This window comes from Homo sapiens, chromosome 6 (assembly GCF_000001405.40).
Source record: "Homo sapiens chromosome 6, GRCh38.p14 Primary Assembly".
NCBI classification, from domain to species: Eukaryota; Metazoa; Chordata; class Mammalia; order Primates; family Hominidae; genus Homo; species Homo sapiens.
Window position 1 is genome coordinate 5,719,989 of NC_000006.12, and position 17,389 is coordinate 5,737,377.

The following is a 17,389-nucleotide window of genomic DNA, read 5'->3' on the forward strand; positions in this document are numbered from 1 at the left end:
AGTCACTTGTAAAAGTTGGCCTGTGCTTTCCTATTAAAAACTGCTGTTTAAATGGTAGTTAGTCTCCTGTTTAGTATGCGGTGTAGCTAGATCACCCTGCATTCACAATGCTCTACATAAAAAAAAAAACAACACTGCTGCAATACCAATAGTTAAAAGCAATTCCATTAAATACATTGCGAACTAGTTTTAAATTTTTATCTTGATGTAGGCACTTAAGAAAAAGGAAGGGATAAAAAATAGTTGGAGACATTTATAGTGATTCTGAGGGTAACTTCTGAGTTCTGGGGCTTACAGACTCTTGCCATTGGGTCTTCATCTAAGTAGCGCTACTCAAACGTGTATGAGCCCTAGTTAAAGCATTATGGCTCACAAGAAAATAAAACAAACACATCAGTTTTCCAGATGTTAATTGATCAGTTTTCCAGATGTTAATTGATCAGTTTTCCAGATGTTAATTGGAGATGTTTTGAAAGAGAGAAGCTTCAGAAGGCAGACAAATACTAAAGAGAATGTGTCTTTACAATATTCATTCAGCATTTATTGTGTACCTAGCATGCCCTAGGCTCTAGAGCAGCATTCTCAGACCACTAGTTTTCTAGATTGCCTTTACATTCATAAGTCTCAAGATTATTAAATTTAAATAGCCTCAAGATCCCCTTTACATTCTTAAAAATTATTGAGGACCCCAGAGAGTTTTTGTTTATTTGGGGTTATATCTACTGATATTGATCATATTAAAAATTAAAACTGTATATAAATGTTTAAATGCTTTGCCTGGGCATAGTGGCTCATGCTCTATAGTCCCAGCACTTTGGGAGGTGGAGGCAGAAGGATTGCTTGAGGATAGGAGTTCAAGACCAGCCTGGGTAACATAGCAAGACCCCCATCACTACAAAAAAAAATTTTTTTTAATTAGCTGTGCTAGGTAGCACATGCCTGTAGTCCCAGCCACTTAGGAGGCTGAGGTGAAAAAATTGTTTGAGGCCAGGAGGTCGAGGCTGCAGTGAGCTGTGATCATACCACTATACTCTAGCCTGGGTGACATAGTGAAACCTGTCTCTTTAAAAAGAAATAAAGTTTAAATGTTTTAAGTAAAACATTTTAAAAGATTTTATTATTTAAACATATCAATAATAAAACCATTGCATATTAACCTAATATAATTCTATGAAAAATAACTATAAAAATTTTTGTGAAAAGAATGACATTGATTTATATTTTTGCAAATCTTTTTCGGGTCTGGTCTAAGAAGACAACTAGCTTCTTATACCAGCTTCTGTATTCAGTCTGATGCTCTTAAGTTGTTTTGGTTACCCCAGATATTTTGTTAGAAAAGGGAAAAGTGTGTTAATAGACTTTTGAGAAAATTGTGGCTATTCATTCTTTGACACTCTACCAAAACCGGAAAAGTAGTAGTTTTTTAAAAGTTAGTTGCATTGTGAAATCTGAAATTATATCAATGACTGATATAATTTTTCACTTGTTACATTGAAATCGATTAGTCTATCTTGCAATTTTGAATGGATCATTCACTCTTTCATGATTGTGTGAAATCGTGCATCATTCAATTAGAAATATTGGTTCAGTGAGTTATGTAACTCTTTTAAGCGTCGACACATTTCATTATCTAAGATCAAAAAATCACATTCATTAGTATCATCACCAATCCTATCAGGAATGCCTTAAGTATTGGGAAATATGGAGACACATTTTCCAACGTTGACAATTTTCCAAATTTGCTTGAATTTTATCATTGGCCAAAAACACTGTCAGTTCTTGAAGTGGCAGGCTCATTGCATTTATTATCTCTGCCATCATTGGTCTGTCAGTACTTCTTCCATGTAAAAATAATGTTCCATGAAAAAGAGTTGCTGGTTCAGCTCACAGTTGAATCTCAGATGCACATTTCCTTGAGACAACCTTGTGCTTCAGCGTGTACCACGGGTTCTCTGTGTGTGTTTCCCACTGAGTCACACAGAATATAAAAAAGGCATATCAAGGGTTGAAACTTAATAAAGGTAATAATTTGTAGTGCTTTTTAAGGACGTTTTAAATATTCTCTTTTTTTCCAGCTTTAATGGATGAAACAAATTGTTGTTTTTTTCCTTGTAAGTGTGAGATGGTAAAAAATGCAGTGACTGCCAGTATAAGCTGGTGCCACTACCTTGATCCCAGCTAAGGCACCCACAGTTTTATCTACTGTTGCTTTTGCACCAAAGATGTAAGTGGCAATACAGCGAAAAGGGCAAATAAAGTCTTAATAGTATGAAAATGCTTTGACCTTACAAATCCCTGAAAGGGTTTTGGAGACCCCCACAGGTCTGCAGAACAGTCTTTTAAAACTCCTCACTAGATATACAGTTTGACATAGACAAGACGTTTTTCTTGTAAAGGGGGAAGATAGATAATAAACAAAATACATCAGGGGTGCTGTAACCAAAACAAAGCAGTGCGCTGTGACAGAGGGGTTATCTCAGGTGGGATGGCCCTGAAAGGCTGCGGAGGCAGTGACGTTTAAGATGAAACTTAAGAGCAGGTCGACTGGGATAGCCAGCCCAGGCTTGATGGCAAGAGCTCACAGGGAATGTTCCAGGGGCAGCAGAAGAACCCCTGTGCTGAGCATGGTGAGGAGGGGGAAGCGCAGGGAGAGAAAAGGTCAGTGAGGCTGTCAAGGGCTACACTGATCGGGCCTGAGGAACCAAGGTGAGAGCTGGATTTTATTCTGAGTGCAACGAGGATGTCCTTGGAGGGGTGTGAAGCAAGGTGAAAGGTCATGTCCACCTTGTAGCCTCAGGAAGTCTCCCCTCACCCCACTTCCACCTCCATTCTTCTCTAGGGGGCCACGACTGGGTTTGAAACTCTAAACCCTAGTTATGAAGTTGTAAATATAAGTAAAAAAGAAAATCCCAAAAGATTACATACAGCATGGTATTCATTTTATAAAATAAACAACTTACTAAAACCTCAGAGCTATCTACAAAGGAAGTCAAGGGAGCAATAAACAAGGATTCAGAACAGTGATTCCCTGAGAGAGGGCAGGCAGGAGGATGAGTTGGGGAAGACTCCACAGATGGACAAAAGTCCTCATCCGAGTTCCGGTTCTGGGGGTGAGTGGGGTTTTGTGGGTGTTTGTGATCTTATTAAGTAAGGGTGAGTGAGTGAAGGTGACAGGCCACGAATGGGCCACTCGCGAGTGTGTCGGGAGCCGTGGGTCATGACAGACCCAAGTACGTGCCCCTGGGTTTGATATAAAAAGAGAATAAGGGTAGAAAAGAAACAAAGCTCATATCTATATATTTCATTTATTTACATGCCGTTTGATTTCTAGCTTGTTCAACCCTAGTTATTGCAAATATCAAGTGTAGTATCATGGGTCATGGGAAAAGGCTGCTGGATTCAAAACTCGGCTTTGTGTGCACCCTTGGACACGCTGCAGACCCTTCCAGGCCTCAGTGTCTTCATCTTCTTCATCTATGATGTGGAATAATTGCAGGATCCGCTCATAGGCTTGTTGAGAACATCGAACAGGACAATGCCTGTGAACCGCTGTCACAAGCCTCTCAGTCACGTTTACTGCACAGGTGGAGATTCTCTCTCCTGTATACACTGCCTCTCTCGATCCATTTTTCCTTTCTTTATGTAACTGGGAAAAACCAAGAATGAAGCAGGTTTGTTTTTGTTTTGCGTGTGAGGAAAAGGTTGTTGAATCTGTTCTCAAGAATGTTTGAATTAAATTCTCTTTGCCTGGGGATGGTATTTTTATCTTATATGATTGTTCTTTGAACAAGCAGTAAGAAAACAAAATGAAATTGGGAGGCTCCTTGCTTTCTTCCTGAAAAGAGGCTTCAGGGCTTTGGGCCAAACTGTGCCTTGAAATGAATTTTAGAAGCGGCCACAGCAGGCGGTCTCTGTTGTGAGGGGCCCAGCTAGTAACAGGCACACTCCCCCAAGACAGAGGAAACACCCTGCAGAGCGGTGGCCACGCTGGGCTGTCCACCGCACAGGGGCTGTCAGAGAAAGAGTGGGCTCGGCGGGAAAGGAAGGGCCGCCCCAGTGGGTTACACGGGAGGCCGCTCCAGGCAAGGGTTTTCAATTTCAGTTCCCTTTTCCCCACACTGCATGGTTTCACTTCTCTGATGGGGCTTAGAATCTGCGCCATTAGGCAGCTTCCACAGCTTAGACGCCTTTCCTAAGGAAGGGTTGGCACAGGGCTGTCAGCCATCAGAGACCTGAGAGGGCAACCACCGGTGCCCTCCCTGCTGGATTCAAGAGGAGCTGGGTGATTCTGGGTTCCAGGATGAAGAGGAGCTAGCAGGGACAAGGAGTAAGCAGAATGTTTGCACACAGGAAATGACAGGGGACTCCGTTGCTGGAGCCATCCCTTCCCTTTGTGGTCATCACGAAATATCCATGACCATAGTAGTGCCACTGTGGCCTGAGTCTCAGGATTGCCTGTGCCCATGAGGTGGCCAGAGCCAGCTCTGAGTCCCCAGGGTGGCCCACAGCCAAGGAACAGAGCCCCCAGGACGCAAAAAGAAACCACCACTAGTTGAGAAGGGAGGAGGAGAACTCCTCTCATGACTGTGCCTGGCAGGAGACAGCGCATCCTGCAGCCTGAGCCTGGTGCTCTACGGGGGCCAGCCGAGGCTAAGACTGTCCCTCACGGAAGGATCTTGAGGCTTCTGTGTCCTCCCCGACACTGGCTGCACTCACCTCCCCTCAGCCTCTGTGCATAGCAGCCCACCGTACTTCAGGACCACTCTTTGTAATCAGGGAATTCTTCTTTACATTGAGCCATAATCTGCCCCATAATTTCCACAGATGAATCCTAATTCAGGTCTCCACAGTAACATGAAATACATCTGCCCCTTTTTGGAATATATGTTAGGTCTACTCTGTGTCCTGCACCATGCCAGGCAGCAGACAAGACACAGACATAGACCTTTCCTTCCAGGAGACTAAAACGTAGTGGGGCAGATGCCATTAAACAAATAATCACACAAAATTCTAAAGATGAAATGAAGTTTCTCGCTATTACCGTGTTACCACACGTGGAAAACAGTCAGCTATGTCTTCTGTCTAAGGGAAGGTATTTTGCAATGGCCTGACTTAAAAGCCGTGGGATTTCCATGAAATCTCTGGATGATGCGGAGCAGACACCCCAGTGCTGAGCAGCTTTCTTTAGTTGAAAGAGAGGGTTAGTGATGGCCAAATTCGTAGCCTGTTTTGGGGATGGCGTGATGACTTTGAACATGGGCGCTGGGGTGTATGGAGGAAGGTGAAAGGTGTCCGTGGGGAGAAAATTGGAAAGGAGCTTTGGAGGCAGGTTGGGCAAGGCATTAAGTGCCAGAGTAAGAAGTTGGAACTGCGTTTGATGATCATCAGGTGAGAAGACCTTTGAGCAGGGAGGGAAGTTAGGTCTGAGTTTTGAGGCAGTTATTTTAAAATGGTTCCAAGCATGGCCTCTGCAGCCTGGCTGCCCGGGCTCCAGTCCTGGCCACTGGCAGTGGGAAGAGTTACCTGGCCTCCCTGTGCCTCAGTTTCTACATCTGTAAAACAGAAATAATAGTGGTATGTACTTAAAAGAGCAAATGAGTTGATGCATGTGACATTTTTGGAGCTTTGCCTAGCTGTGGAAAAGTGCTTTAAAAAGGTTAGCTGGGGCCAGGCATGGTGGCTCACACCTGTAATCCCAGCACTTTGAGAGGCCAAAGCTGGTGGATCAGTTGAGCTCAGGAGTTCGAGACCAGCCTGGCCAACATGGCGAAACCCCGTGTCTACTAAAAATACAAAAATTAGCTGGGCGTGGCGCGCACACCTGTAATCCCAGCTACTCGGGAGGCTGAGGCAGGAGAATCGCTTGAACCAGAGAGGCAGAGGTTGCAGTGAGTCGAGATGGGGCCACTGCACTCCAGCCTGGGCAACAGAGCAAGACTCTGCCTCTAAATAAATAAATAAGGGTAAGCTGGTATTATAATCACCACCATTGTCATCATCATTGTTGGAATAGGCATTGGAAGGAGGTGGATGAATTTGGGTCAGTGGGTGTCATTCACAGTAGGGCACAGTAGAGGCCTGACTTTAAAAGACTAGGTATGCTGCCACCTTCCTCAAAACGGCACCTGCACTGTGTTCACTCACATAAGTAGAAACCTGGCTCTTTTTTTCTTTTTAGAATCTTTTTTTTTTTAATCCTCACTTGGGATTAATCACCTCCAGAAGGCCCTCATCAGGGGTTACAATACACGTGTGCATGTTTGAGGCCATGCTGCCCACGCGTAGACTTGGGGAAGGAATTTGCAGCGCCTCACTCCCTCACCAGCAGGCCCAGTGCCAGGGGGCTCCTAGATGATGGCTGGAGCCCGCCAGTATGATGCTAAGAATGAAGACTCTGCTGCAGCATGGGCAAATATTTAGGCAATGATGATAAATGAAATAAAGCCTGAAACCACACATGCATGATGGTCCTCACGATGTAAAAACATGGTTGCACATGAGCCAGGGCCGTAAAGAAACACAGATAAACAGTGGCACTCGTGTTAAGATGGGCAGCGCAGGAGCACATGAATTGTTTTCCTTTAATATTTCTGCAATTGTCTTAACGATATTTTTAAAGTAGAAAAAGTAAAGGAGGGAGCATGTGCCCAGGATCCCTCTATGCCTCGGAGACCACAACTGCAGAGCAGCCATTGTTTTAGCAGAGATGGAGGGCTCCAGAGGGTGGGGCATGTCAGTTCTTAAAGAACTGCTCTTGATCTGCGAACCCCTCTGCCCTCTTTAAGCCCCAGGGGCACCGCCATCTCTAGGAATGGAAATTCCCAGCCAATGGCTCCTGCACCAGAGACAGTGGGCCCTTCCCTTCCTCACAGACAGTGCTTCCTCAGGATCATGGCCCTTCCAGGGTGAGCTTCCCGGGTAACTGGACAGGGGCTGAAAGTAGCATCCTTAGGCTATCCCATTGATGGTCTTGGTTAAAACAAGCACAGTTCAAATACCTTCGTGACCGCTGTCAACTGCAAATGGTATGGCCTTGGGTCAGATACTTGGCCTCATTGAGCTTCACTTCCACCGTCTGTAAAGGAGCAATGCCTCTGCAGTACCTACCTTCCTCACCGGGCTGTTACTGGTAGGAAAAGCGTGACTGCAGTGCATGGCACCCAGGAAGCTGCTCAGTCAACAGTAACGGCGGCTGCTGCTGTAGGGGTGGGCATGGGAGGGGCTGTTCCTCTCATCACTAGTTTTATTCAGTGGTTCAGATGGTTCAAATGCAGCCTCCTCTATGAGGTTGGACCCCGTTCCTCTGCACAGAACTTTCCCTCCTCCCTTGGTCTCCTGGAACACTGCGTTTGTGCCTGTCTCACAGCGCCTGCTACTTTCTCTGAGGCAGTGGTGTCACTTATACTTGTTACACTTTTCAGAGGCAGGGTGCTGACTGGCCAGAACGTAGGAAAGGCCAGGTCAGAGACTTTCTGTTTAAATAAAATGCCACGCTAGCGGGTTTCGGGTAACTGAAGAAAGTGCATTCCGCGGTCTCCATGTGGTCAGGACTTGGCTCTGTGAGTCTGCAGCCTTGTTCAGCCCTCCCTGCAGCTGTTACTGTATCCCTGTCTTCCTACTGAGGCCATGCTTGGGCCATTGTGGCACCTATACATCTTTAATACACGCCCCAATTAATGAGTTAAGTCCAGATAAAGTGGGTCTGAGGAGTTCACAGATTGGAGTGCCACAGGGATCATATTTTCAGGTGCATTTTCTTCCAATGCACTCTGACAGCTCAAAACACTTCCTCGAGCTTCTATACATTCTGCTCGTTGCCATGTGTCCCCAGCACTTGGATATGTAATGCGAGGGATACCAACAGACTGATTTCTAAATGAGCTTCCTGCCTCAAGGCAAAGGTTGAGTTGCCCGTGCAGCTGGGAGGGCCACCAGGTGAATGACGCTGTTAGAGGGGAAGTGTTGGGGTGAAAGGTCCCTGGGAGCTTCGCTTACCACCGTGGGCACTTAATGGATGCTAAATAATTGAAAGAATAAAGTGAGAGATGAGTGGATGCCGCCTTGATGGCCCCTCGATGAACTAACAGGGTCCGAGAACATTTGCAAATTGGTCATTAATGTTTCATCAACAGTGTCTGCCTCCTTTGTTCATCTCAAAGGGTAGCCAGGGTTTCCGATCACAGGGATAGTTTCCTGAGAAACTTAAATGGAGGAATTAGGCCGGGCCTGCAATTCCACCCAATAATTTGGGTTTGTTTCAAAATAGCCTAATAGCTGGGAATGGGCTGGTTTGGCTTGCTAATGTGCTTAGAAGGGTCTTGAGTGCTTTCACTCAGTGACATTTGGAGGGGGATTATGGATTTTGGAGCATTAAAGCTTTATTGTTTTTGTTTTTTGTTTTGCTTTGCCTGTTTTTGGAGTGAGGTTTGCTGACGCTAAAATGACTGTTTATTCATGACAGGGAGGGGGTGAGGAGGTATAGGGAATAATTCTACTCATGGAAAAAGGATGCCTTCTTCAAAATGATTTTTGCTGTTGGCAAAGCTGAGAACACACTCACATGATTCTCTGCCTGCAGTAAGTGACAGGAAAAACACATTGTGCGCCGTGGATAGCTATAACTAGCAGCAAATTGGTTTAAATCATAAAGAAAGGCTCAGTATACACAGCTCCCTCTTCTTCAGGGAAGTCTAGCTGGAGGAAAGAAATGGAGGCTGGGTTTAGAGTACTAGAAGTGGCAAGTCCAGCCTTGAGCCTCCCGCGGTCGGGTTTCTTCAGAAAATAACCAGGTACTCTCCCGATGTGAGCTGTGGATTTGGGTGAAACTTTCCTCTCTCAGCCACTGCGCTGGCCTCCCTCGGCAACCCTACGTTGCAGGGACTGCCTGCCCCGAAACCCTGCCTGAGCTCACCACTGTCCCTTCACTGACTTTTGAAGGTGGTAGACGGGGAGAGATATTCCTTGTCCCCAGCACTGGCTGGTGTGCTCTTGACAGTGGCCTGTTCTGAAGCCTGCTAGGACGCCCGCTACCTGGGAAGCTGGCAGGAGATTCCGATGGCTTTCGGCATCTGCAGTGCTCACTCATACTGCAGATGACTCTTATTTCCGTTTTTCACAACTTAACTGAAAAGGGCACTTAAGCAAAGCAGGCATTTAGTCCCAGGTGGAATCAATCTTCCTGCTGCAGGAAAGAGCCAGGCCCTGGGCAGCTGGTGTTTGGAGTTGGTCTTGAGTGTGTGTTGACTCACCTTCCTCTCGAGGTAAAGGAAATGAATAGCTCGTGCTAATGAATGAGGTGTCCCCAGAGCATCGTCAGTCTCTGGAGGTGTCCAGTTAGGCCCTGTGACTGTCCCAGCCCTCCCACGGGCACAGCAGAGGCGAGGCTCAGAGCCTGCCCCTGGAATGGGGGCGTGGACGTCCCAGAGAGCAGGGGCTGAGGACACTGGAGTGGGGTCACTGGAGGAAATGGGCAAAGGCAGCTGAGTAGACACATACCTTAGAGGCTAGGGAGCTTGTCCAGAAAAAGCAGCCTGCACCTGGCCGTAAGATTTTCCAAAGATGAGGTTTATGCTCATTGTATTTTTCTCTTGGAAAATGTTTAGGGTCTTTTGCAATGCTTTGTCCTCCTCGGTACTCAGAGGACTGCATCTGCCTTTCCCTCTTCTTTCCCCTTCAAGGATGGACGTGTAGGTTACCCACAAGTACCTGTGCCCTCATTTTTTTAGGCACAGGCTTCTTTCTCTGCTTTGTTTTTGTTTTTTGTATGTTTGCTTTCAAGGCACATATTTTCAAGTATAAAATGACTCCTATGCTCCTTCACTTACCCTGAAAACACCTACCTGTTTCCTAAGAGCCACCTTTGAAAACTCTATGGACATTTTGAACCAGATTATTCTTTATCATGGGGGCTGACCTGGGCACTGTAGGCTGTTTACCAGCATCCCTGGCTTCTGCTGACTGGATGCCAGGAGCAGCCCCCTGACCCCAGTTGTGACAACCACAAATATCTTCAGCCGTTGTGCAGTGCCCTCTAGGGAGCAAAATTCCCTTCAGATAAGAACCACTGGTCTACAGGAATCACACCAAGGCAGCCCACCCATTTTAAAGATATGCCAGTCTGTTTGTTTACTGAATGTTTAATAATTGTTCATTTATTCACCTATCTGCTTACCCATTGATCTGTCCATCTGTCCATGTAGCTGAGCTGCCCAATATCCATCCTGGGACAGCAGTGCCTTGGGAGCTAAACATACTCAAACTGTGAGCCTTTCTAGAAAGAGAGAGAGACAGCGAGAGAGCGCAATTGATTGATTGAGGATAGAGGAGATAATTACTGAGCAAGCTGGATAAGATCCAAGGTACTAAATAGTTGGGGGAAGGTACTTGGGAGGAAGAGAGATGCTGCTTTTTTGAGACCAGAGGGAAGGAAGAATGGTAAAGACAGAGGAAAATGTTTTGGTCACAGGGAAGATCACTTACCGAGTCCTAGATCTATTTATGTAGAAAAAGGATTTTCTAGATTACAAAGAGGTTTTTTTTTTTACAACTAGAACTGTTTTTCTTAGATTTATTTTCCAAAGATGTGTCACAAGGCAGTAATTCACCATCATCAGTTAATATGTCCGAGCCCAGGGCCAGTAGAGAGGAATTAAACCTCCTCCTAAGAGGAGCAAAATATTCATCACAAAGGACAGATTTTGCAAGAGTTGGCAATCTTCTAGAGGTCATGAGCAAAGTCTTCACTTACTCTTATTAAATGGTTCTTTTGGTAGTAGTAATCTTACCTCCCCTAACCACTGCAATGATGATTGCCAGTTCTACTGTGTGCTTATGTTTCAAGCACTGTTCTGAGAGCTTTATACGGATTAACTCCGTTAATCCTTTCAGCCCTAGATGGTCTTTTAGAGATGAGGCAACTGGAACACAGCAAGGTTGAGTAACTTGCCCAATGTCACACAGCTACTAAGTGGTAGAGCTGGGACACAGACCCACACTGCTGGCTCTGAAAGCATCAACCCTAATGACTACACGCTCATTTGTCTGGAGAAAACACTGAGACCTGGAGCATGTGTGTACATGCTCACCATACAGCCCGCCCCCGATGATTGTCAGGAGAGTCAGCTGATCTGAGAAAGTGACAAGCATTGGTCATTTCAGAGAAACCGGGAGTTGGGCTTTTTAAAAGAGGCATAAAGAAACTGGGAAAATGAGACTGAGTATATTGGACAGATCCCAGGAACTACCACTCAGAGGAAGACAAGCCCCGCTCCTGTTTTTCCTTCCTTCCTCTTCCTCCTTCTCTTCCATGTGCCTTCTTCTTTCCCTTCTTCCTCCTCTTTGTTTTCAGCTCTCCTCTCTCTCCATATAGCCCTCCAGACTCTCCTCCTCTGTGAGGCTGTCTCCTTGGTCCCCTCAGAGACCGTGGCCCCAGATCCTCAATCCTCTTGCTCCCCAGATTCGTTCCATGTCTCCTGCTTCTGCACTCACGCCCTGGGCTCCTGCCCCTTGGATTAGAAGCCATGGGCGCCATTCTTTGAGCACTTTTCACACACCGGAGTATGGTTTTTAATGAACAGTTTTATTCTGTTGTACCCTTTGATCTCCTGTGTACTCCTCTATGAGTAGCACCATGTCATAGCAGGGCAGAAGCCAGGGCGTATCGTGTACTTGGAGCTCAAAGTCCCTTTGCAGTGAAATTCCACCAAAACCTATGGATCTTTCACTTTGGGACACGCTGTTTGATCTCTGTCTGTCTTCTCCAACATCCTTTCTCATTAAACTGAAGATCAGAAAAAATCAGAAAAATAGGGCCCCTTGGTCCCTCTGAGGTCCTCAACATTTGCTAGATGGCTGGGACCCTTCCCCCTCTCAGTGTCCTGATGTGGTTTATTCTTTCATGTTTCATCTGGGCTGTATGGGCCTGGCTGTATGAGACTCTCACGCAGCCCGAGCTAGGAGAGCCTCCCTGTAGAGCCGCACCTGGCCCCCACACTCTCTGCCTCCCTATCTCCTGTGCTCCTCCTCAGGGTCCTGCTGACCCCGTCACTGAGACAGCTGTCCCCGATGATCCTCATGCAGGGTTTTGTGTTCTTCTTATGTGAGTGTCCTTTCTTGTTGGATTGAAAGTCGCTTAAATAACACAGCAAACATTGCTCAGCACCTGCTATGTACCAGCCACTATGCTAGATGCTGGGGACACAAAAGTGAATGAACAGTCGTTGAAAGTGACAGTGTCAACAAATGGCTCTAGTAGCAGGAAACAGGAGTATCATGATTGAGAGAGGTACGTGTCGGTGATATGGCGGTGCACACTCTAGCCCTCCATGGAGGGCAGTGACCCAGGTGTGTTCAGCCTCCTAGGGAGGCAGTAAGGATTAGACAGGTTAAGGCTTGGGAAAGCCTCACAGTCGGGCCTGGCACGTAGCAAGCATGCAACACCTGTTAGATCTCGTTGTTCTCATCTCTGTAGCTCCTCTCCCTTCTGACCCGTTCCCCCAGCTTTCAATGTCAGACCACACAGATTGTGTTCAGCAAATGAATAAATGACCATGAATGAAATGAATGTTGGGCCCATCAAGAGAGAATTAGAGAACTTGGAAAGAAGAGTGGACATTCTCAATGAGGAGGGAGAAAAACAGCACAGTGCCAAGGGGCGGAGCCCGGGAGCAAGAGCCCTGATCCCCGGACACATCAAGCTTTCCTGCCATGGGTCAGCCGGACTCCAGCCCCAGTCACGAGCTCCTGGACAGCTCCTAGTGAGTCTCCTCTTCGCTTCCCTCTTTCTTTTTTCCACCAGAGATAGGTAGGACCTTTTCATATCCTTCAAAAAAAAAAAAATCAGGCATGATTCAAATCCTGTTCTTCTATTCACTCTGCCTTCACTTCACATCACTTCCACAGTTGCTGAATTCTTCCTTCATGCCACATACTGTGCAAGGCTCTGAAAATGCAACCACCAGGAGACAGTCCTGGCCCCAAGCCCCCGGCTAGGTGGTGCCCAACCCAACCTCACCTTCCACACCACCACCAATGGCCAGACAGGTGAAGTGAGGGGTTGAGCTTGGATTCCCTTTTCCCAGAAAGAGGTTTTGTGTGATTTTAACTTATTTGCAGATAATTAACCTCAGGGTCAAAAAATCCTACCCTTCTGCCTCTGCGGAGATTGAAATTAGATTTTTGAAGAGAAGCAATTGCTGTATAGAATTAAAAACTTCTTGATGAATACTGCCATCATGACATGGGGAGGAAATCACAGTAGCACTTTCTACTGTGTAATTAAAAAACCAAAAAAGCAAAGATGAATGGAATACCCACAAGTGAAAATGGGATTTCGTTTTCAACAGAGGAAATTGGAGTTCTGTCAGTTACACATGGAGTGTGTCCTGAATCATTTCAAATTACAGCAGGAGGTCACGTGGGCCATTTTCTTTAATCTATGCAATACCACGGACCAGGAAAGGGAATTTTTGCTCTAAAAAGATGTGATTTTTTTCCATCCTAACCATTGACTCTCTTTCCAAAATACCAAAAACATTTCATAGCCCCAGGTGGGTTTATATTTTGTTTTTGTTCTCCCTCCTCTCCACTGCCTTGCCCTAATTTTAATCATGCTGACTCTCCAGTCTTTAACTGCCTTTGCTCAAGAACATGTAAGGATTAGTAGCCCAGAGTTGAGTCTTGGCAACACTGTGGAGTCCATGCTGTACCCACCTATCTGGGTTTTCCTCAGTGTCATGAAATCAGATCAGAGATCTCATAGCTGCCACACACTGATAGGTCCCACTGACCATGGAGGACACCGGCTCCTAAGTGAGGGAGAACTGAGTTTTGGTCCCAGCCTAGTTCTTTGCTGTGTAACCCTGTGAAATCACTAGCCTCTCTGGACTTCGTTTTCTTACATGTATGGAGTAGGGATTGGAATAGCCTTGCTATTGCAGTTGTTGTAAGAATTAAATGAATGGATATATGAATGTCTAGTGCATGGTAAGTCCACAAGAAATACCTGCTATTATAATCACCATTGCTGTTGTAAAAAGTAATCAAGGGATCCAAGAGTGCTAAACTGGTGTAATAGCTAAGGGGTTTGGGATTGCCGAAACCTGCTGTGGACAATGCCGTCCCTTCTTGGCAAGTTCCAGTGGTAGATGGAAATAGAGCCCTGTATAATTCTTGTGAGAATTCTAGAAAGCTAGGCTGGAGCAGGACCCCTGTCCTAAAGGCCAAAGAGACCTCTTCCTGCCCCCCGCAGACCAGCACTGGGGGTCTGACCAGAGGAGCACAAGAGCCTGCAATCCTGAATCCCCATTATCCTGAGAAAGAAAGCCACAGCCAGCTCTTGTCCCATAGGAAAGAGCTGGTCTTCTTTAGGACTTCAAGCACATGGGAGAAGGAAGCAGGGCTTGTGCTTTCAGTCTTGTTTCCACTGTGACATAAAGCAAGGAGAGGGTGTCAGGAGGGGCCATGCATCTGTGGGCACCGTTTCAACACATGGCCAGCTTGTGCTCTCTATTTGAGAGCCAGCTGGACCCAGAATCTGACCCATCAGATCAGAATCCCTCTCTGTAGAGAGGGAGCAAGGAGATGATGGTGATGATGACAGGGAACACGTACATAGCACTTAACATAGCCAGATAGTAGTTTAAATGCCTTGTATAAAGTATCTTACTGAATCTTCTTAATAACCCTTTGATATAGGCATTATATTATATTCATCTTATACCTAGGGAAATTGACACAAAATGAGGACAGTTCATTAGAGCCTGGAGAGTTCTTCTGTAAATAAGACGGAAAGATAGATGGTTGTTTGATTTGTAGATAGATAGATACATACATACATACATACATACATGCATACATACAATCTGAATCTATAGTGTAGATAGAAACTGTGTCTGTCACACAGATAGAAACCGTTAGTGTAGTACACTGTATCTAGCTGTAGGTAGTTAATTCTTCTTCTCACAACTGCTGCATCCAGAAAGACCACCCCAATAAACTAAGCAGCTTTCTAGAAGATTCACTCCGCGTTTATTGCCAGATGTGTCACCTGGTCATTTTGTGGATTATATTAAAATGCAAAACAGTATTATTAGTTATTAATTTTAAAACAAAGTCTAGAAACTTTAATTTTCAATTTAGCCAACAAGGGCTTTTTTACTCTACGTACCCCTGGCTACATTTATTATACATTTATTATAGAATTACATCTATGCAATATGTCTATGTATGAATGACTCAGAAAGGTTAAGTAACTTACTCAAGGCCACAGAGCTAATAAGTAGCAGAACTGTAGTTTGATTCCAGATTCTCTGATTCTATCCACTGCTATTTCCACGTCATTTTCCTGTGATCCTTCCTTTGGTGTGTGTAGCTCACCAGGTCACACTAGTGGACTGGACCAAGGAAAATGCTGGACACTTTGGTGACTAAGGGCTTGGAGCTTTGGAGGAAGACAGCTCCAGGCCCACTCCTGACTCCATCCGCTCCATCGCTCCTTGCTGCCTGGGTCCTTGACCTCTCGGGGCCTCCGTTTCTCTCGAGGCTGTTGTGAGGATCAGATGAAAGAAAGATGTGAAGTGTCAGCACATAAGTGGTCACTGTGATTATAATTAATAGTACACCATACAGTCCTGGCTGTTTTCTCCCAAGAATTCTTTATCTTTCGCCTGCTAATAAAACAGTATGAAGTCTGAAAGGCCTTTGTGAAGCTCCGCGTATTTGCTATTAATAACCGTGGTCAATAGCGGTAATGTTCTAACCCTTCAAATTCACTGTTTGGGAGCTGCCTTCATCCCCAGCCTATCGAACACATGCTGTGGGGCTGGACCTGTCTGTGGCACCGTGCTTTGTGACTTGCCAAAACTCATAAGGAAGTTAAGAGTGTCCTGACAGCCACTGATGCTCTTCTTTTAGGAAACTGTTCTCAAGAAGATTAGAGAGCTGGCTTGAACCATTTAGGAAGTGGGAAGGATATTAGATGAGTTATTTGTTGCTGCAGAATGAATTACCCCCCAAAACAGAGGGGCTTGGCAGGTTGATTCTGGCTGTCGATTTCTCACGGGGTTGCAGCCAAGATGTCAGCTGATGCTGCAGGGATCTGAAGGCTCAACTGGGGCTGGAGGACCCCCTTCCAAGCTCAGTCAGTCGGCTGTGCCAGGAAAGGCTCGGTTCCTCCCTGGCTGTAGGTCAGAGACCTCAGCTCCTCACCACCTGGGCTCCTCCACAGGGCAAGCATTGCAGCTGGATTCCCCAGGGAGTGACCCAAGAGCAGGGAGAGGCCACATGTCTTGAGTAGCCTGGCTTTGGAAGTGACACACCATCACTTCTGCCATATTCTCTTGAACACACAGACTGACCCTGGTCCATTGTGGGAGGGGCCACACAAGACAGGAACACCAGGAGGTGGGGATCTCTAGGGGGCATCTCTGGAGATTGCCACCACAGGTGGCACATTCTTGTCTCTGGAGAGCTGAGAGAATTCTCCTCCTCCTCCTCACAACTGTTGCCTCTAAAAAGACCAGCGCAAATAGGGCAAGCAGCCCTTCAGAATAAGGTTATGTCCACATTGATTCTAAGACATGTCACCTGATTATTTTTTGGATTGTATTCAAGTGCAAAAGCTCAACTGATAGTAGTTTAAAAACAAGCTAGAAACTATTTTTCCAGCTTAACCTTAAGGGATTTTTTTTTTTAAAAAATTGCATGTACCCCTTGCTATTTATCCTAGAAATGGCTGCAGAGCTTTAAATATAGACCAGCATGAATTCAACTCTTGCATAAATTTAAACCACATAGGTGCTAGAATACCCCTTTTTTAATCCAGAAGGGAGAGTTATCTAAGAGTGATGGGTAAGTACATGGCAAACCAATTTACTGCCTCAGCTGCTGTAATGTGGAATAACTTGCATCCCATCTCACTCATCTCTCTTCTGTCTCCACCATGCCCATTAGCACGTGAGTTTGCTCCCTTCCTCTCGCCCTCCACACTAAGGCAGATTATTTTGGATGAAAACATTCATTTAAATTTACTCTACTTTCCCTTCACCCTATGAATTAATGTAAGGAAATGAAATCAGACTTCACAGGTACCATACATTAGCAACACAGATGACCCTGCGTGAAGGGAGATCACACAGTTACTTCCATCAGAAGTAAAACTGAGCCTCGAAAACTTCACAGAAATACACTCAGAGCCACTCAAAAGGGATCCTGAAAGGCAATGGGGGAAACAAGAAATAGAATAGGCTTCAGAAATAAGATCCTGGCCGGGCGCAATGGCTCACGCCTATAATCCCAGAGCTTCGGGAGGCCAAGGTGGGTGGATCACGAGGTCAGGAGTTTGAGACCAGCCTGGCCAACATAGTGAAACCCCGTCTCCACTAAAAATACA

General features: G+C 45.7%; 1 protein-coding gene across 12 annotated transcripts in view, besides 2 other annotated features; it reads left to right on the forward strand.

Annotated features, from left to right (window-relative positions):
* The window catches only part of FARS2 (phenylalanyl-tRNA synthetase 2, mitochondrial), a 521,650-nt gene that overhangs the window by 470,055 nt on the left and 34,206 nt on the right, over positions 1 to 17,389 (forward strand). The window lies entirely within an intron of this gene.
* Positions 3,999 to 4,318: an enhancer, noted in NCBI's record as "active region_23911". NCBI's record gives its function as "activates an Ori minimal core promoter by ATAC-STARR-seq in GM12878 lymphoblastoid cells {active_cell/tissue: GM12878}" and the evidence as "EXISTENCE:reporter gene assay evidence [ECO:0000049][PMID:35858748]".
* Positions 8,620 to 8,749: an enhancer, noted in NCBI's record as "active region_23912". NCBI's record gives its function as "activates an Ori minimal core promoter by ATAC-STARR-seq in GM12878 lymphoblastoid cells {active_cell/tissue: GM12878}" and the evidence as "EXISTENCE:reporter gene assay evidence [ECO:0000049][PMID:35858748]".